Below are 20,285 nucleotides of genomic sequence, written 5' to 3' on the forward strand. Positions count from 1 at the left end.
TGAACCCTGGAGCTCAAGCGATCCTCCCACCTCAGCCTCCCAAAGTGTTAGCATTACAGGTGTGAGCCACTGGGCCGGGCTTTCTTTTTTCTTTAAACCATAGATTAGGAATGACTTTTTTGTATATTACCTATTCAATAAGTGATTAAAAAGAAAAGTTATAGTCTTAAGATAATCTGCAAACAGTTTGAACTACTACTGAAGGGGGAATTAATGAATTTTATAAGTATAATGGTAGAAAAATTTATTCTTTTTCTTGAAGGTAGAACGTAATATAGCCCCACCCCACCCCCCCACTCTGGTGCGGGGCCCGGGTTGAGAGAGAATATTAACTGCTTATCCCTCCTCTATGCGCAGAGAGGCTTATCTGTGTTCCATCGTTTTACATTCCTTGAGGCACAGCGAGTTCTTGCTTCCCTCCCTAGCTCGGCTGTAAAGTCACAAAGTTGATAAGCAATTGCTACAAAAGCATGTATTCCCAAGGATGTAAAACATATGGTGTAACAAATGTAAAAGAGTAATTAACTGCCTTTGATCTCGCTTCTGCAAGTACCCTTCCTGCAGCACGTAACTCCCTAACTCCTGCCACAAACTGCTTAAAAGGTGATTGATCCCTTTGTTCAGGGATCAGACTTTCTGGACCCTAGTCCGACTGCGCCAGTGATCACCTTAATAATTAGACACTCTCCTGAACTGTGCTCAGTCTCTCCCGTCTCTGATTTGTCCCACAACACTACCTAAATGAAAGATTTATATAGAAGCATGAATGTGACTGGGCGGGGTGGCTCATGCCTGTAACCCTAGCACTTTGGGAGGCCGAGGCAGGTGGGTCACCTGAGGTCAGGAGTTCGAGACCAGCCTGGCCAACATGGCAATATCCCGTCTCTACTAAAAATACAAAAATTAGCCACGTGTGGTGGCAGGAGCCTATAATCCCAGCTACTCAGGAGCCTGAGACAAGAGAATCACTTGGACCTGGGGAGGGTGCAGGTTGCAGTGAGCCAAGATCGCACCACTTCACTCCAGCCTGGGCAAAAGATCAAAACTCTGACTCAAAAAAAAAAAAGAAGTATGAATGCTAAAAGTCATTTTGGAGAACCAGTATCTAGCATGGTTGGGAAATTGACTGGAGTGGTATGCTTTCAGGTATTAAGGGAAATACTTTGTGATTTTTTTCTTTCCCCTGAAGTTTGGTCTGGGTGTCCAGTTCATTGCTGAACAAAGCATAGCAGTTACTTCATGGCAAAAGATGCATTTTAAAACAACAATACAAAACAGCTTTATTAAGATACAATTCTTGGCTAGGTACAGTACCTTGAGCCTGTAATTCCAGCACTTTGGGAGGCCGAGGCCAGAGGATCACTTGAGCCCAGGAGTTTGAGACCAGCCTGGGCAACATGGTGAGATCCCATCTCTACAAAAAATAAAAAACATTTAGCTGGGCGTGATAGTACGTGCCTGTGGTCCCAGCTATTCTGCAGACTGAGGTGGAAGGATTGCTTGAGCCTGGGAGATGGAGGCTGCAGTGAGTCATGATAACACCACTACACCCCTGCCTGAGTGACAGATCAAGACCCTGTCTCAGAAAAAAAAAAAAAAGGTATAATTCTTATACTGTAGAATTCATCCCTTTAAAGTGTAGAATTCTGCAGTTTTTAGTTTATTCAGAGTTACACAAACATCAGCACTCTCTAATATGAGGTTTTCATCACTGCAGAAAGAAACCTTCCTTATACCCATTAGCAGTCAGATCCCAACCCCTGCTCTGCTCAGGTCCTGGCAACTACTAATCTATTATTTGTTTCTATAGATTTGCCTATTCTAGACATTTCATATAAATAGAATCATATAATATGTTGCCTTTTATGACTGACTTTTTAAATTTAGCATAATGTTTTCAAGATTGATCCCTGTTGTAGTGTGAATCAGTACTTCTGTCCTTTTTATGACTGAATAATATCCGATTGTATGGATATACAACATTTATCTATTAACTGTTGAGGGACATTTGGATTGTTTCCAGTGTTTGGCTATTCTAAATAATGCTGCAGTGAACATTTGTGTACACATTTTTGTGTGTTTTCATTTCTCTCGAGTATTTACCTAGGAGTGGAATTACCAGATCATATATGAAAACTCTATGTTTAACATTTTGTGGAATGGCCAAACCGTTTTTCAAAGCAGCTGCACCATTTTACAGTCCCACTAGCAATGTATGAGGGTTCCAGTTTCTCTGCTTCCTTGTTAACATTTGTTATTTTCTTTTTTTAAAAGAATTTTATCCATCCTAGTGACTATGAAGTGGTGTCTCATTGTGGTTTTGATTTGCATTTCCCTAATGATGAATGATGTTGAGCGTCTTTTCATGTGCGTTTTGGCCATTTCTGTATCTTCTTTGGAGAAACATTTATTCAGTCTCTTACCCCTTTCTTGTTTTTTTTTTTTTGTTTTTTTTTTTTAGATAATTAAAACTTTTTTTTTTTTTCTGAGACAGAGTCTCGCTCTGTCACCCGGGCTGGAGTGCAGTGGTGCCATCTCAGCTCACTGCAACCTCCGCCTCCCAGGTTCAAGCAATTCTCCTGCCTCAGCCTCCTGAGTAGCTAGGATTATAGGCATGCACCACCACACCTGGCTAATTTTTGTATTTTTAGTAGAGACAAGGTTTCACCGTGTTGGCCAGGCTGGTCTTGAACTCCTGACCTCGTGATCCGCCCACCTCAGCCTCCCAAAGTGTTGGGATTACAGGCGTGAGCCACGGCGCCCGGCCAAAAAATTTTTTTTAAAGACAGGGTCTTGCTATGTCGCCCAGGCTGGTCTCAAACTCCTGAGCTCAAGCAATCCTCCTGCCTGTGCCTCTCAAAGTGCTGGGATTACAAGCACGAGCCACCATAACTGGCCTCTTGACCATTTCTTAATTGGGTTATTTGTCTTTTCATTGTTAAAACTGTATTTTATATAAATGCATTAAAATTTTTAATTGTGTTAAAATACACATAACATAAAATTTACCATCTTAACCATTTTAAGTGTACCATTTAGTAGTGTTAAGTACATTTACATTGTTATGCAATCAGTCTTCAGAACACTTTTCATCTTGCAAAACTAACACTCTATACTCATTCAATAACAATTTCCCACTTTTCTCATTCTTTCTTTACCTCAGCCCCTGGCAACCACCATTCTATTTTCTGTTTCTATGAATTTGGTTCCTCTAGGTACATCATATAAGTGGAATCATAAAGTGTTTGTCTTTTTGTGACTGGCTTATTTCACTTAGCATATGTCATAGCTTATGTCAGAATTTTCTCCCAAAGCTGATGCATTTTTAATTACTTATATTTTCTGAGCCATCTATGACTGTTAATAAGGAAAACTTGTGTATCTATGTATGTATATAGTCACATGAAACATCTATATGAATGTTTATATATATGCACATAACAGTAAGCATACAGTGCAAGATGTGAATAGGGTAAAATATTTTTAATTGTATTATATGAATAAGCAGTTGTGATCTTGAATCATTTATTGCATAAATCTTAGCAGTATTATAAGACAAGCAGAAAGTGAGGATGCAAAGAGAAATGACATCTACATCTAATGAACCTTAAAATCACAAGCTTGGAATTAACTATAATCCTGGAATATTTTCCAAACCTGTAAAGAAAAATGTGATGCGTGCAGTGGTGAAGAGATTAAAGGCAATCTGTTAAAATGGTATCCTGGTAGCAGTGAGCACACCTGGCATCCAGGTTTGGGATCCTAAATACCACTGCTTACTAAAAGAGTCAAGTGCTCCTTGGAGTAGTGACTGACATCTGTCAAGTGAGGAAGTACTCAAAGGCTGAGGAGGTAATGTCAGAAGGACATACGAGCAGATTTGAAGAGGCTCCCAAAGGCCAAATTGGAGAGAATTTGAGAATCAACAAGAATAATGATGGTAACAGATTATAGCACAGTGAATTGAAAAACAAAAATTTGTGAGTCTATGGAGACTTAAAAAAAAACAAAAAGAGCAAGACAGGGAAAAAAGCGAAAATGATTTTTTTCAGAAAAACAGAAGAATGTTAATGAATAAATGTGGAAGGAATAATGAAATTTTAAAAATCAGTATTTTGGCTGGGTGCAGTGGCTGATGCGTGTAATCTCAGCACTTCAGGAGGCCGAGCGGGCAGATCCCTTGAGCCCAGGAGTTCAAGACCACCCTGGGCAACAAAGCAAGACCCTGACTCTACAAAAATAAAAATAAAGATCACTATTTTGTTATCATCAATGTAATGAATTAGGCAAAGATTATTAATGAATCTAAAACCATTAGGAGGAAGATTGTTGGAGAACAAAAATACTCATGTAGTCTCAAATTAGTACTCCACATATTATTATTATTTTTTTTCAAGTCATAGTCTTGCTGTGTCACCCAGGCTGGATGCAGTGGCGTGATCTTGGCTCACTGCAACCTCCGCCTTCTGGGTTAAAGCAATTCTTCTGCCTCAGCCTCCCAAATAGCTGGGATTACAGGCATGCACCACCATGCCTGGATAATTTCTGTAGTTTTAGTAGAGACGGGGTTTCACCATGTTAGCCAGCCTGGTCTCGAACTCTTGACCTCGTGATCTGCCCACCTCAGCCTCCCAAAGTGCTGGGATAAGAGGCATAAGCCACCGCACCCGTCCCACATGTTATTAATTATAAAGAAAAAAATATGCCTTGAAAGTAGAGTGATCTATTGGTGACCACATTTACTGAGTGGTTGAGGTTGACATGTCCGGTGGTGTGGTGGTCCAATATTATATACTTCTTAATGTGATGCTCTTAGGGAGTTGCATAGCAAGACTTGCGTGTGTTCTTGCTAGACGTCTTTGATCTGAATCTAACCCTGAGGAAGCAGAGACATCTAGAATGTGGTGCATTATGTGTGGGACAACTGGACAGGACTCTTTTTTTTTCTCCCCCCTGAGACAGGGTCTTGCTCTGTTGCCCAGGCTGGAGTGCAAAGATCATAGCTCACTATAACCTCAAGCTCTTCAGCTCCAGTGATCTTCCTGCCTCTGCCTCCCAAGGAGCTGGGACTATAGGCATGTGCCATGACCCACACTCAGATAATTTTTAACTTTTTTGTAGACATACGGTCTCAACTGTGTTGTCCAGGCTTATTTCAAACTCCTGGTCTCAAGTTATCCTTCCACTTTGGCCTTTCAGAGCACTCGGATTATAGGTATAAGTCACCATGCCTTGCCAGGACTCCTTAAATGAGTCAGTGTCCTGAAGAACAGAGCAAAGTGGTAGGTGGAGGGAGATAATTGGGGGAACATTCTAGATTGGCAAATGTAATGCATGAACCTTGAATATATTGGGGGAAAAAACAGCCATTTAACACATATTTGTGTGTTACCCCTAAAAGGGTTCTGTGGAACATTAAGGACTTTCTGGTTTGAAAGTTTGAAATGTCTTGGATTATGTGAGGCTGTATCTATTCAAGGCCTTCTCTCCATATATAAGTTGGGGGAAAAGATAGCTTTAACTTTTTAAAAATTCTTTTTTTAAGCTCCCAAGTGCTTGGAAACCTTAGCTTTAAATAAAAACACAACTTCTTATTATGGAAAATTATGGAAGAGTTCCAGTACCATATATACAAATAAAATAGTATAATGAACCTATAAATCACCCAGCTTTAATAATGACCAACAATTTACTAATCTTGTTTTATTTAACTCTCTCTTTTTTTTTTTTTGAGGCAGAGTCATGCTCTGTGGCCCAGGCTGGAATGTAGTAGCGCAATCTCAGCTCACTGCGGCCTGCTGGGCTCAAATCATCCTCTCACCTCAGCCTCTCGAGTAGCTGGGACTACAGGTGTGCACCACCACATCCACCTCATTTTTGTATTTTTGTAGAGATGGGGTATCGCTGTGTTGCCCAGGCTGGTCTTGAACTCCTGAACTTAAGCAATCCACCCACCTCGGCCTCCCAAAGACTGGGATTACAGGCTATGAACCACTGCTCCTAGTGTAACTCTCTCTTTTGCTGAAGTATTTTAAAGCAAATCCCAAACATACATAATATTATTTCATCCCTGGATACTTTATTATAAATCTCAATGACTTTAAACATAAACTACAATGTCATTATCATACCTAACAATGTTTCTTAATATCTTATGTCTACTCCACGTTCAAAGTTTGCCAGGTGCTTAAAAATTTTTATAGTTAATTCGCTTAAATCAGTATCCACACAGAGTCTATACATTGCATATTTTTGGTCTTGTTTCAGTTTTTTAAAGTATCTTTTAATTTTTAAAGAAAGACCCCTTTCTTTTTTTAAATGCCATTTGTTTATTGACTAAAGTAGTTCATTTGTTATATAGAATTTCCCATATTCTGAATTTGGTTAATTGTTTCCTAGTGGTGGTTGACTTATTCTTAAAACTTTTTTTTTCAGGAACACTTCCTAATGGTCCTTCCTGTTGCATCATATCAGGAGGTCCATAATGTCTGGTCATCCACTTTTAGTGACTGGAATAAGTAGTTGTTAATTTTTTTTTAATTGTTCCATGGAATAGGGCATTTTCGTTCTATCTTTCTCTTTGGCATTGGCTGTTTTCTTTTTTTTTTTTTTTTTAATTTAAATGTGGTATGTTTATTCAGTTCTTTTTTTTTATTTTTATTTTTTTTTATTGATCATTCTTGGGTGTTTCTCGCAGAGGGGGATTTGGCAGGGTCATAGGACAATAGTGGAGGGAAGGTCAGCAGATAAACAAGTGAACAAAGGTCTCTGGTTTTCCTAGGCAGAGGACCCTGAGGCCTTCCGCAGTGTTTGTGTCCCTGGGTACTTGAGATTAGGGAGTGGTGATGACTCTTAACGAGCACGCTGCCTTCAAGCATCTGTTTAACAAAGCACATCTTGCACCGCCCTTAATCCATTTAACCCTGAGTGGACACAGCACTTGTTTCAGAGAGCACAGGGTTGGGGGTAAGGTCACAGATCAACAGGATCCCAAGGCAGAAGAATTTTTCTTAGTACAGAACAAAATGAAAAGTCTCCCATGTCTACTTCTTTCTACACAGACACGGCAACCATCCGATTTCTCAATCTCTTCCCCACCTTTCCCCCCTTTCTATTCCACAAAGCCGCCATTGTCATCCTGGCCCGTTCTCAATGAGCTGTTGGGCACACCTCCCAGACGGGGTGGTGGCCGGGCAGAGGGGCTCCTCACTTCCCAGTAGGGGCGGCCGGGCAGAGGCGCCCCTCACCTCCCGGACGGGGCGGCTGGCCGGGCGGGGGGCTGACCCCCCCACCTCCCTCCCGGACGGGGTGGCTAGCCGGGCAGAGGAGCTCCTCCTTCCCAGTAGGGGCGGCCGGGCAGAGGCGCCCCTCACCTCCCGGACGGGGCGGCTGGCCGGGCGGGGGGCTGACCCCCCAACCTCCCTCCCAGACGGGGCGGCTGGCCGGGCGGGGGGGCTGACCCCCCCACCTCCCTCCCAGACGGGACAGGGCGGCTGGCCGGGCGGGGGTGCTGACCCCCCCCACCTCCCTCCAGGACGGGGCGGCTGGCCGGGCGGGGGCTGACCCCCCCACCTCCCTCCCGGACGGGGCGGCTGGCCGGGCGGGGGGCTGACCCCCCCACCTCCCTCCCGGACGGGGTGGCTGGCCGGGCGGGGGCTGACCCCCCACCTCCCTCCCGGACGGGGTGGCTGCTGGGCGGAGACGCTCCTCACTTCCCAGACGGGGTGGCTGCCAGGCGGAGGGGCTCCTCACTTCTCAGACGGGGCGGCTGCCGGGCGGAGGGGCTCCTCACTTCTCAGACGGGGCGGTTGCCAGGCAGAGGGTCTCCTCACTTCTCAGATGGGGCGGCCGGGCAGAGACGCTCCTCACCTCCCAGACGGGGTCGCGGCCGGGCAGAGACGCTCCTCACCTCCCAGACGGGGTCGCGGCCGGGCAGAGGCGCTCCTCACATCCCAGACGGGGCGGCGGGGCAGAGGCGCTCCCCACATCTCAGACGATGGGCGGCTGAGCAGAGACGCTCCTCACTTCCTAGATGGGATGGTGGCCGGAAAGAGGCGCTCCTCACTTCCTAGATGGGATGGCGGCTGGGCAGAGACGCTCCTCATATCCCAGACGGGGTGGCGGCCGGGCAGAGGCTGCAATCTCGGCACTTTGGGAGGCCAAGGCAGGCGGCTGGGAGGTAGAGGTTGTAGCTAGCCGAGATCACGCCACTGCACTCCAGCCTGGGCACCATTGAGCACTGAGTGAGCGAGACTCTGTCTGCAATCCTGGCACCTCGGGAGGCCGAGGCTGGTGGATCACTCCGGTTAGGAGCTGGAGACCAGCCCGGCCAACACAGCGAAACCCCGTCTCCACCAAAAAAATACGAAAACCAGTCAGGTGTGGTGGCGCGCGCCTGCAATCGCAGGCACTCGGCAGGCTGAGGCAGGAGAATCAGGCAGGGAGATTGCAGTGAGTTGAGATGGCGGCAGTACAGTCCAGCTTCGGCTCGGCATCAGAGGGAGACCGTGGAAAGAGAGGGAGACCGTGGGTAGAGGGAGACCGTGGGGAGAGGGAGAGGGAGAGGGAGCGGGAGCGGGAGCTGGCTGTTTTCATTGATAAAATAGTTATAATTTTTTTTTTTTTTTGAGACGGAATCTCGCTCTGTCACCCAGGCTGGAGTGCAGTGGCGCCATCTTGGCTCACTGCAACATCCACCTCCCGGGTTCAAGCGATTCTCCTGCTTCAGCTTCCCAGTAGCTGGGATTACAGCCGCCACCACGCCCGGCTAATTTTTTGTATTTTTAGCAGAGACAGGGTTTCATCATGTTGGGCAGGCTGGTCTTGAACTCCTGACCTTAGGTCATCTGCCCGCCTCGGCCTCTCAAAGTGCTGGGATTACAGGTGTGAGCCACCATGCCCGGCCCAAATGTTTTTAAATCTTTGACATAATTTCTGACTTACAGAAATATTATGCAGATAGTACAGTTCCTGTGTACTTTTGTCCACACAGTCTTACCATTGGTAAAGCAAATCTCACCATTTGCTTTATCATTTATTCTCTCTCCCTTTATCCCCTCTCTCCTCTGTGTGTGTGTGTGTGTGTGTATGTGTGTGTATTATATTTCCGTTTTTCTGAGCTCTTTGAGGGTAAATTACAGGCATAATGCTCTTTACCTTTAACTTTTTTTGAGATGGAGTCTTGCTCTGTCGCCCAGGCTGGGGTGCAGTGGTGCAGTGGCACGTTCTCAGCTCACTGCAAGCTCCGCCTCTCGGGTTCACGCCATTGTCCTGCCTCAGCCTCCCAAGTAACTGGGACTACAGGCGCCCACCACCACGCCCAGCTAATTTTTTGTATTTTTAGTAGAGATGGGGTTTTACTGTGTTAGCCAGGATGGTCTCGATCTCCTGACCTCGTGATCCGCCTCGGCCTCCCAAAGTGCTGGGATTACAGGTGTGAGCCACTGTGCCCGGCCAATGCTCTTTACCTTTAAAAATAAGGACATTCTCTTACATACCCATAGTACAATTTTTGAAATCTGGAAGTCAGCATTGATATAACACTATTAGCCAATTTATAGACCTTATTCAGATTTCATCAATTATTCTGATAATATTCCTTATAGGAAAAGAAAATAGTAGATTGTGAGTTTTATTTGATTGTCATGTCTTTTTAGTTTCCTTTAAAGAATGACTGAGAAATGGTTCCTTATTCTTTTATGACCTTGAAAACCTTGAAAATTTTTACGAATATGGGCCATTTATTTTGTATAATGTCCCTCAATTTGGGTTTGTTTGATGTTTCCTCATAATTCAATATAGGTTATGCATTTTTGCCTGGCATATCCCAGAAATGAAGTATCTTAGCAGAGGCATTTGATGTCAGTGTGTCCCATAATTGTGGTGTTAACTTTGATCATCTGATTAAGGTAGTGTTGACCCAGTTTTTCCACTGGAGAACTTTTTTCTGAACTCCATTGTAAAATTACTATTTTTCCTTTTGTGATTAATAATTATCTGGGGCAAACCCTTTGAGATTATGTAAATATCCTGTTTATTTTTCAAATGTTAGTCCACTAGTTTTAGCTTCCATTTATGATTTTTACCTGAATCAATCAGTTATTATTGAGATGGCTGCCCAAAGGCTGATTTTCTTAATTTTTTCTATGTGCATTCATTATGTATCTATATATTTGTTGGGAACGGTTTTCCCTATTTTTCATTTATATATGTATAGAATGATGTATTAATTTATCACTATAGATTAATGGATGGGTATTTTTATCAACCAAGATCTGGTAGTAAATGTGTTTACTGCTATTGGATCTGATTTTTTTTTTTTTTTTTTTTTTTTTGAGATGGAGTCTCGCTCTGTTACAGCCCAGGCTGGAGTGCAGTGGCATGATCTCGGATCACTGCAATCTCCCCGTCCCGGGTTCAAGCAGTTCTCTGCCTCAGCCTCCCGAGTAGCTGGGATTACAGGTGGCTGCCACCATGCCCAGCTAATTTTCTTGTATTTTTAGTAGAGATGGAGTTTCACCATCTTAGCCAGACTGGTCTTGAACTCCTGACCTCGTGATCTACCTGCCTCAGCCTCCCAAAGTGCTGGAATGTCAGGCCTGAGCCACCACGCCCAGCCTGATCTGATTATTTTTAATAATGAGAATACTGGCTGGGTGTGGTGGCTTATGTATGTCATCCCAGCACTTTGGGAGGCCGAGGTGGGCGGATCACCTGAGGTCGAGAGTTCGAGACCAGCCTGACCAACATGGAGAAACCTCATCTCTATTAAAAATACAAAATTAGCCTTTGTATTTTTGTATTTGCTTATATATGCAAAGAATCTATTCCTTCCTTTTTGGAAGGAGTCACAAGAAACTAGTAATATTGGTTACCTTTACAGAGTGAAACCTGGATGGTTGGAAATGGGAGTAGGGTGGAGACTTTTCACTTATAAATCTTTTAATTTTTTTACTGAATTAATTAAAAGTTAAAAATTCACACACTGGAGGTCTAAAATTACTGAAACACATGATCTGAATGTAAGAATTCTAATCAAACAGTTTACTTAAGTAATACCTGGGCAGATAGCCAAGATAACTTGGTTATCTTGGTAGATGACAATAGTAGAAAAATTGGTAGAAAGTTGGCAACTTTATTTATATACCATGATGTGTGTACTTTAGTCTTAATGAATATTTTGTTTTCTTTTGGCAGCATGCATATGCGCTAGAACTTCTATTTGATCAGTTGCATGAAGGAGCTAAAGCTCTTGATGTAGGATCTGGAAGTGGAATCCTTACTGCATGTTTTGCACGTATGGTAAGAGTTTTATTTCTCACTCTGGCCCCAACAGAAGAATATTATATGATTTGGCTGTATGTTTTTTTAACTAGTGGTTTTCATGTTTATTTGTTTGTTAATTCTATTAGGATAGCAGTTGGAATGAGCATCACTTAGGATTTTGTTGTTGTTGCAAGTGACAGAACATGCAACCCAAACTGGCAGAGCTAAAAGGGAGTTTATTTAGTTCATATAACAGAAAAGTCTAGGGGTGTATACGGTCTGTTGTGTGGCTGGATTTAGAAGAGCAGATGTTGTTATTGACGATAGGGTTCTCTCTGTTTCTTGATTTGGCTTTACTTTCCTCCACATGTTGGTGTCATTATCCGGTAAGCTCTACCCTTGTAATCACAAGATGGTGGCCAGTAGCTCCCAAACTACCTTCTTCCAAGTTCTGATTTGGCAGAAAAGAATAGAATAAGCCTGGTTTTCTTTTCTTTTTTTTTTTTTTTTCTTCTTAAAAACAGAGGTTTTATTGCATTTGGTCCACAGTTGGTATTTCACCTTATCTCATGGTGCAGGGACCCTGGGTAGGGGACTCTCTACAGTACTTGGTGGGGCATGTGGCTGGGGGAGACAGAGCAGTATAGCTGGTCAGGCCCAGAAGGGGAGAAGGAAGGCTGGAGGCTCCTTAAAACCTACTGAGGGACCAGACGCGGTGGCTCACACCTATAATCCCAGCACTTTGGGAGGCTTAGGCAGGCAGATCACATGAGGCCAGGAGTTCGAGACCAGCCTGGCCAACGTGGTGAAACCCCATCTCTACTAAAAATAGAAAAATTAGCCAGGCATGGTGGAGCACCTGCAGTCCCAGCTATTCAGGAGGCTGAGGCAGGAAAATCCCTTGAGCCCAGGAGGTGGAGGTGCAGTAAGCCTTGATTGCACCACTGCACTCCAGCCTGGGCAACAACAACAACAACAAAAACCTACTGAGGCACAGTGTGGGGGGTGGGCTTAGCATGGAGAGGGGGTCAGGCTTAGCCCCGACAACTCAGAATTCTACTTCCTTGTACAGGCCTCAGTTTCCCCACCGGGCCCTGGGACATGTCTGAGGGTCCCAGGGAAATCCAGTCACTCAGGAGCCTGAGATATTTAGCATCGTAGCTGGGCCCCGTCTCCCAGGGGACTCATTTCCCAGCACCCTCTCCACTGTCCCTGCCCAGAATGAGCCTGGTTTCTAAACATTCCTGCAGATTTACCAGGATGAAGGTAAAACTTCTGCATTAGAAAAAGTGCTCTTAGAAAAATAATGCCTTGTTATACTTCTGCCTTTTCTCATCAGAGTCTTATCTGGTCAATGGCTATCCAGAGTATTAACTGGGGACCCACTAATATATGTTGGAGTAAAGGTTGATCATTGCTTAGATCATCACATCAGTTTGATTTGAGAAATATCGTGCCTGGAGGACAGATTGGAATATTCTGATCTAGTTAAATTGGGAGTTGTGGATCCACCTTGGACTAGAATCCATGTAACTTGCTATAAATGTATAATCAGCAGACTTACTAGAATGTAAGCTCCAGGGAGTTGGAAATTTTGTCTGCTCTTTTTTATCATGATGGTATCCTAAACATCTAAAACAATGCCTGGCACATAATAAGGACTCATATTTTCTCAGATGTTTTGCTCATTTTGTAGAGGTTAAGTCCTCATTAATGGATATCAGTGATTTTTTTTAAGGTTAGAAATGCCATTTAATAAATGACTCATTCTCTATACTTGACATGTTTATAGTTTTAGAGGATGTATTCATTTTAAAAAATCATTTGGTTTCTGAGTTGTTTTTCATAAAATGGCATTAATGTTTTTCACACATTTACCATGTGTGAAAGTACTTTGTGTTTTAAGCACTAGAGCCTGTGTTCTAAGTGCTACCCCATTTTTATGATGGGGTTTATGCCTTTTTCCTCCCCATTTTGTACTGAGGAACCTGATTCATACAAGGAATGATAGGCCGGGTGTGGTGGCTCACGCCTGTAATCCCAGCACTTTGGGAGGCCGAGGCAGGTGGATCACCTGAGGTCTGGAGTTCGAGACCAGCCTGGCCAACATGGTGAAACCCCGTCTCCACTAAAAATACAAAAATTAGCTGGGTGTGGTGGCACACGCCTGTAATCCCAGCTATTTGGGAGGCTGAGGCAGGAGAATTGCTTGAGCCCGGGAGACAGAGGTTGCAGTGAGCTGAGATCACGCCACTGTACTCCAGCCTGGCCAACAAAGCGAGACTTTATCTCAAAAAAAAAAGAAGGAACGGTTAACTTGCCAAGGTATGTATGTATGTAAGTGATGACACTTAGACAAGAACCCAGATAGTTTGACTTCAAAGCCTTTATGTGTTAATTTTTTAAATTTTTATATTTTTTCTTGAAACATTTATACTTAATATTTTAATTTACAAATAAATATGCAAAGAAGGGATTTTTGTTGTTGTTGCTTTTTGTTTGTTTTCTGAGACAGGGTCTCAGTCTGTCATCCAGGCTGGAGTGCAGTGGCACGATCTCAACTCACTGCAGCCTCTGCCTCCCAGGCTCAAGTGATCCTCACACCACATCAGCCTCCTAAGTAGCTGGGACTTAGGAGGCACATGCTACCACACCTGGCTAGTTTTTGTATTCTTTTGTAGAGATGGGGTTTTGCCATGTTGCTCAGGCTGGTCTCAAACTCCTGGGCTCAAGCAGTCTACCTGCCTCTGCCTCCCAAAGTGCTGGGATTATAGGTGTGAGCCACTGTATATATTTTCATGTTTTCTACTAAAAGCAGTAGAAACAAGTGTAGAAATTCCTTCCCATCAGGCGGGAGGCAGGGTGTGTGGTGGCTCAGTCCTGTAATCCCAGCACTCTGGGAGGCCAAGGCGGGCAGATCACGAGGTCAGGAATTTGAGACCAGCCTGACCAACGTGGTGAAACCCTGTCTCTACTAAAAATACAAAAAAATTAGCTGGGCATGGTGGCGGGGGCCTGTAGTCCCAGCTACTCAGGAGGCTGAGGCAGGAGAATTGCTTGAACCTGGGAGGCAGAGGTTGCAGTGAGCTGAGATCGTGCCACTGTACTCCAGCCTGGGTGACAGAGCGAGACTCTCTCTCAAAAAAAAAAAAAAAGAAATTCCTCCCTGTCAAATTCTTTATGTAACATTTTAATATTTAAAGTTATACTTTAGATGGAATTTAAATAAAAAATTATTGTACTACTATTAAATATTGGTAATTTTCTTCAAAGTTCTAGATTTAATCTAAGAAAGATATAATTTTTCTTAGTATTACAAGTTTTATTCAATGAGAGTGATAGTTGAGAAAGTTGTATATATGGTAAATAATTTATGATAAACTGAGTGTTTAGCAATCTATAGAAGCCTTAAGCTATTTTTGTTTTCTCTTTGTAGAATATGACTTTCGATAAGGAAAAACTTCAATAATACTTTAGAAAAACAAATTTAGCCCAATGAGCTACTGAATTGTTTTCTCTTTTCCAGGTTGGATGTACTGGAAAAGTCATAGGAATTGATCACATTAAAGAGCTAGTAGATGACTCAGTAAATAATGTCAGGAAGGACGATCCAACACTTCTGTCTTCAGGGAGAGTACAGCTTGTTGGTAAGTATCAGAAAACTTTAAAAATTTCTTCAGAGGATTTTTATTTTCAGAAGATCCAATGCAAGCTAAATAATACTCAGAGGTAATTATTGTATTTTTTTTTACAATCACTTTTAAGTACTAAAAAATAAAAACGATTATTTTTGCTCACCTAGTGTGTATTTTGCAGCCATCTCTTTGTGAGTTTAATTTTGTATTTTCCTATTAACCTCTGAGATTGAATTTTTTGTAATGTGTCTGACCATTAGGATTTTGTCTTTTGTGAAGTACCTGTTCAGATATTGGATTGCTTGTATTTTTGACTTACAGGGCTTCTAGCCCTTTGTCTATATATATAAATACATTTCTTCTCCCATCTGAGGTGTGCCTTTTCATCTTATTGGTACCCTTTTGATAATAGAAATTCTTAATTTTAATGTAGTCAGACTTACCAATTTTTTTCAGTGCTTTCTGTGTCCTTTTTAAGGATACTCTGAGACCATGAAGATATGTCTCTTATTATTTCTTAGAACCTTTATCATTTTTAGCTTTTCATGTTTAGGTTTTTGATCTTCCTGATGTTGGTTTTTGTGTATGTGTGAGGTAAAGGTGCAGTTATATGTTTTTGTGTATGAATATCCAGTTGTATTCCCCAGACACACTCAGTTTTGTTTAAAAGATAAAATATTGGCCAGGAGCGGTGGCTCACACCTGTAATCCCAGCACTTTGGGAGGCTGAGGTGGGCAGATCATGAGGTCAAGAGTTTGAGACCAGCCTGACCAACATGGTGAAACTCCGTCTCTACTAAAAATACAAAAATAAGCTGGGCGTGGTGGCGCACGCCTGTAGTCCTAGCTACTCGGGAGGCTGAGGCAGGAGAATCGCTTGAACCCGAGAGGTGGAGGTTGCAGTAAGCTGAGATCGCACCACTGAACTACAGTCTGGCGACAGAGCTAGAGTCCGTCTCAAAAAAACAAATAAAATAAAATAAAGGCCCGGGCAGCTCTAGTAGCCACAGCCATCCCCTAGAGGGATCTGGCTGAGGAGGAAGTGGAGGTGTTGCTTGCCTTGGCCTTTGCCCTGATCCTGTGTGGACACTGAAAGGGGAATACAGGAGTAAACCACACCAAAATGAGTCTCATGTTGCCAGTGAGGGACATGAGAGATCAAGAGATAGACGAAGGTCAAGTGACAGATCACGGGATTCATCTCATGAAAGAACAGAGTCTCAACTCACTTCTTGTATTAGAAACGTTTCTTCTCTGGCTGGATGTGGTGGCTCATGCCTGTAATCCCAGCACTTTGGGAGGCCAAGGCGGGCGGATCACTTGTCAGGAGTTCGAGACCAGCCTGGCCAACATGGTGAAACCCCGTCTCTACTAAAAATACAGAAATAAGCCAGGCATGGTGGCAGGCACCTGTAATCCTAGCTACTCAGGAGGCTGAGGCAGGAGAATCGCTTGAACCTGGGAGGCGGAGGTTGCAGTGAGCTGAGATCACGCCATTGCACTCTAGCCTGGCAGACAAGAGCGAGACTTCGTCTCAAAAAAAAAAAAAAGAAATGTTAACTTCTCCAACACGACAGCGCCATGTTGCATGAGAAAAAGATCACAGTTCCTCTCGTCCAAGCAGTCCTTGTTCTCCAAAAGCCTCTCCAGATGGTTCCATTAGCAGTACTGGGAACAGCAGTAGAAACACTAGTCAGTCAAGTTTAGATAATAGCTGTTAAGATATCTGGGGAGATGGTGTTTGTATTTGAGAATGCAAAAGAAGGAGCTCTGAATATAAGAACATAAGAACAAATAGCACCAATAGTGAGTAACACTATATTTGTTGTAGACCCATCCGTTTCTACTGCACAGCCAAATACAGTGTTGGGCAGGATGTTTGTTTGGATCTGGCCGAGAACACAACTTTACACAACCCAATGAGAAAGGAGAGTATGAAGTAGCAGAGGGAATTGGTTCCACTGTGTTTCAATCTATTCTGGATTACTATAAAATAGGAATTACCTGTTGTCCTGATGGCATAACTGTTCCTGAATTGAGAGAAGCATGGGACTATCTATGTATGTCTTTTGAATGTAGTACTATTAAGGTACTATATCTTAAGTTAACTTAAATAGGTGCTGCTGCCAAAGTATTCCTCCAGTAAAATTCATATAGTTTGCTGCCCATAAGGAGCAAAAAATATTTATCTTGGGCTTATTTGAATGATTAGGATGAGATTTAAAACAGAACTTTTCAGTTCCGTTATCTCCAGTGCCGTTTCATGCTTTAGAGTGAGTCACGTGCAGGGAGTGTGAACGTCAGAGGTGGTTTATTATCCAGTCTGCCTTATCCTTAATCTGTTCACAGATATTTATTTACTAATGCTTTCGTTCTTAAGAGTTGTGGGATAGAGGCTGGGCGCAGTGTCTCACACCTGTAAACCCAGCACTTTGGGAGGCTGAGGCGGGTGGATCACCTGAGGTCAGGAGTTCAAAAAAAAGAGTTGTGAGATAGGAAAATGAAGCGCTTTTCATTTACTAAATGATTGTTAACTCCAGTTTTTCATCAAAATAAAATTCCATTGTTTTAATGTTTCTGACCAAACAAAAAATAAAATAAAATGAGTTAAAAACAGCAAAAAAGTGAATATCCAGTTGTCCCAGGATCATTTATTGAAAAATCTATCCTTTCTCCATTGTAAACCTCCTGTACTAGAATTCTTCACATTAAGTTTGATCTAAACAGGTTTTTAAAGCATAGCTGTTTTTCTTTCAGTGGGGGATGGAAGAATGGGATATGCTGAAGAAGCCCCTTATGATGCCATTCATGTGGGAGCTGCAGCCCCTGTTGTACCCCAGGCGGTGAGTCGGGATTTTTTCTGTTTGTGTGTTTTTATTCAACTAAAACTCTACAAGACTTAAATAGAAAAGACTTCTAGATGATGTTCAAAATATAATTAGACTTTTATATCATACATTTTGGTTACATTTAGCTGTTACTCTTTTCTTTTTTCATATGCAAACAATTGTATAAATGACATGAAAATTACTAAACCCCAGTTTGTGGCGCTCATATTTGATCCAGGTAAGAACTAGGACAACAGTAGAATTGGGAAAATCCCTCTGGAGTTTATGACCTGATAATCAGGTTTTTTTTGTTTGTTTGTTTTTTGTTTTTTGTTTTTTGTTTTTGAGGTGGAGTTTTGCTCTTGTCACCCAGGCTGGAGTGCAGTGGCCCAATTTCAGCTCACTGCAACCTCCGCCTCCCGGGTTCAAGTGATTCTCCTGCCTTAGCCTCCCGAGTAGCTGGGATAACAGGCGCCCGCCACCACGCCCAGCTAATTTTTGTATTTTTAGTAGAGACGGGGTTTCACCATGTTGGCCAGGCTGGTCTCGAACTCCTGACCTCGGGTGATCTGCCCGCCTCAGCCTCCGAAAGTGCTGGGATTACAGGTGTGAGCCACTGCACCCGGCCAGTTTGATGTTTTTTAAATAGCAGAATATGTAAGGCTGTATTTGGTGTATGGGAGATATGAGAAAGTATTTGCCATACATTATATTCTCACAAAGCTTGTATTCTAGAAGAGATATGTCATATATGTAACTGGGAAATTAGCGATATGATAACATATAATTAACACAGGATATCTATTGGAAGGAAAATAAAATATGCATATGAGGGAGAGAATTGTGCAGTGAGTGGTCAAGGAGACATCACACACGGATGGAACTTGAACTGAATCTTAAAGAATAGTAGGATATATGGCCGGGCATGGTGGCTCATGCATGTAACCCCAGCACCTTGGGAGGCCAAGGTGGGAGGATTGCTTGAGCCTAGGAGTTTGAGACCAGTCTGAGTAACATGGCAAGACCCTGTTTAAAAAAAAAATTAGCCAGGCACAGTGGCGCATATGCCTGTAGCCCCAGCTACTCTGGAGGCTGAGGTGGGAGAATTGCTTGAGCCCAAGCTGTTGAGGCTGCATTGAGCCATGTTTGTGCCATGGCACTGTAGCCTGTGGTCCTAGATTTCTGTTACATATGGCTTTTGCGTAGTTCTTGACTAGATGACCGGGGATGAAGGTGACACTGTTTCTTCTGTCTAGTCTCATCCGTTTTTTTGGTAGGCTTAGATCAGTTATGGGAAGATGAAAGTTGTATAATTTGTTCTGGTCATTGACTTGCTGCTTATTGGCCAAGTGACTGGGAAAATGACTTAATTGCTTTGGCCCTGTTGATTATCTGTTTAAAAAAAAAAAGTAGCTCACGCCTGTAATCCCAGCACTTTGGGAGGCTAAGGCAGATGAATCACTTGCGCTCAGAAGTTCGAGACCAGCCTGGGCAACATGGCAAAACTCCATCTCTACAAAAAATACAAAAAATTAGATGTGGCAGGCACTTGTAGTCCCAGCTACTCAAGAGGCTGAGGTGGGAGGATAGCTTGGATTGCGTGAGCCTGACAGGTTGAGGCTGCAGTGAGCCATGCTTGTACTACTGCATTCCAGCCTGGGTGACAAAGTGAGACCCTGTCTCAAAAAAAAAAAAAAAGGTAGATTGAACTGGTGGTTTTACACATTTTAACTGAAGTATTAATATAATGTAGAAAATTTTACAAGTCATAAACGAACAGCTCAATGAATTTGAACACATGACCAATGGGTTTTTAACTTTTCAAAAAAAATATTGATAACCTAGAGTGAACAGTTAAAATCTGAAATAGAACTGTGCTTAAATGAGGCGGGTGGGTGCAGGGCCCATTTCTCCCTACTGGGACCCTGAAGTGATCTTGAAAGATATTTCTAGATTTAATTAAATTGAATTTAAATATTGTAGTAATACTTGCAAGTATTATAGGGGTATGTATACATCTGATTTAAGATAGATGTACTGAAGGGGCTTTCCAGTTTTAAGATAGCAGAATGAAGATGTTTATGCCTTCTTTTGGATATCACCCCAAGATAACCAGAAAAACAGAAGCATAAACTCCATACTCAATTAACTAGGAGACTATACCTGCAGTCCTGAACTCCACAGTGTGTGAAGATAGAAAGCAGATGGAATAATAGCTGACCCAGGAGGGTAGAGGAAGTAGAAACTAAAGAGACTACAGAGTGAAATATTATGCATACGCAGTTTGCACTGCAAAACTCTGAAAAGGCTTAGGAATTGGTGGCATCAAGACCTTGAAAATCATAGGTAAAACATGGGTCTGAAAAGAGGGAATGCTGCTTGAGACTCTGCATGAGGAATAATCAGCACTAATCTCTACGTAAGAAATTTTCTAAAAACTGATGGACATAATTCTAACACAAAGAATTTTTAAAATAAGAAAAAAGAACAACCATATCATTTATATTCAGAATATTAGGGGATAAAGAGAAGATTCTGAAAGCCTCTAGAGGCCAGG

General features: G+C 42.7%; 1 protein-coding gene and 1 pseudogene across 9 annotated transcripts in view, besides 1 other annotated feature; both read left to right on the forward strand.

The window, feature by feature from the left end:
• Nucleotides 1-20,285, forward strand: part of PCMT1 (protein-L-isoaspartate (D-aspartate) O-methyltransferase) — a 61,727-nt gene that overhangs the window by 29,063 nt on the left and 12,379 nt on the right. For 7 of the 9 annotated variants that reach the window (NM_005389.2, NM_001252049.1, NM_001252051.1 and 4 more), the window contains 3 exons: nucleotides 11,197-11,301; nucleotides 14,792-14,912; nucleotides 17,658-17,743. In NM_005389.2, coding sequence (NP_005380.2) covers nucleotides 11,197-11,301; nucleotides 14,792-14,912; nucleotides 17,658-17,743 — 312 coding nt within the window. The remainder of the gene's footprint in view (nucleotides 1-11,196; nucleotides 11,302-14,791; nucleotides 14,913-17,657; nucleotides 17,744-20,285) is intronic. The other 2 variants (NM_001252050.1, NM_001252052.1) reach the window with 1 other exon arrangement.
• Nucleotides 6,587-7,089: an enhancer, noted in NCBI's record as "NANOG-H3K27ac hESC enhancer chr6:150106480-150106982 (GRCh37/hg19 assembly coordinates)". NCBI's record gives its function as "activates a minimal SCP1, AML or CMV promoter by ChIP-STARR-seq in naive H9 embryonic stem cells {active_cell/tissue: H9 hESC(naive)}" and the evidence as "EXISTENCE:reporter gene assay evidence [ECO:0000049][PMID:30033119]".
• BTBD10P2 (BTB domain containing 10 pseudogene 2) lies at nucleotides 16,450-16,992 on the forward strand (annotated as a pseudogene).

Source organism: Homo sapiens, chromosome 6 (assembly GCF_000001405.40).
Source record: "Homo sapiens chromosome 6, GRCh38.p14 Primary Assembly".
In the NCBI taxonomy this organism is placed as follows: Eukaryota; Metazoa; Chordata; class Mammalia; order Primates; family Hominidae; genus Homo; species Homo sapiens.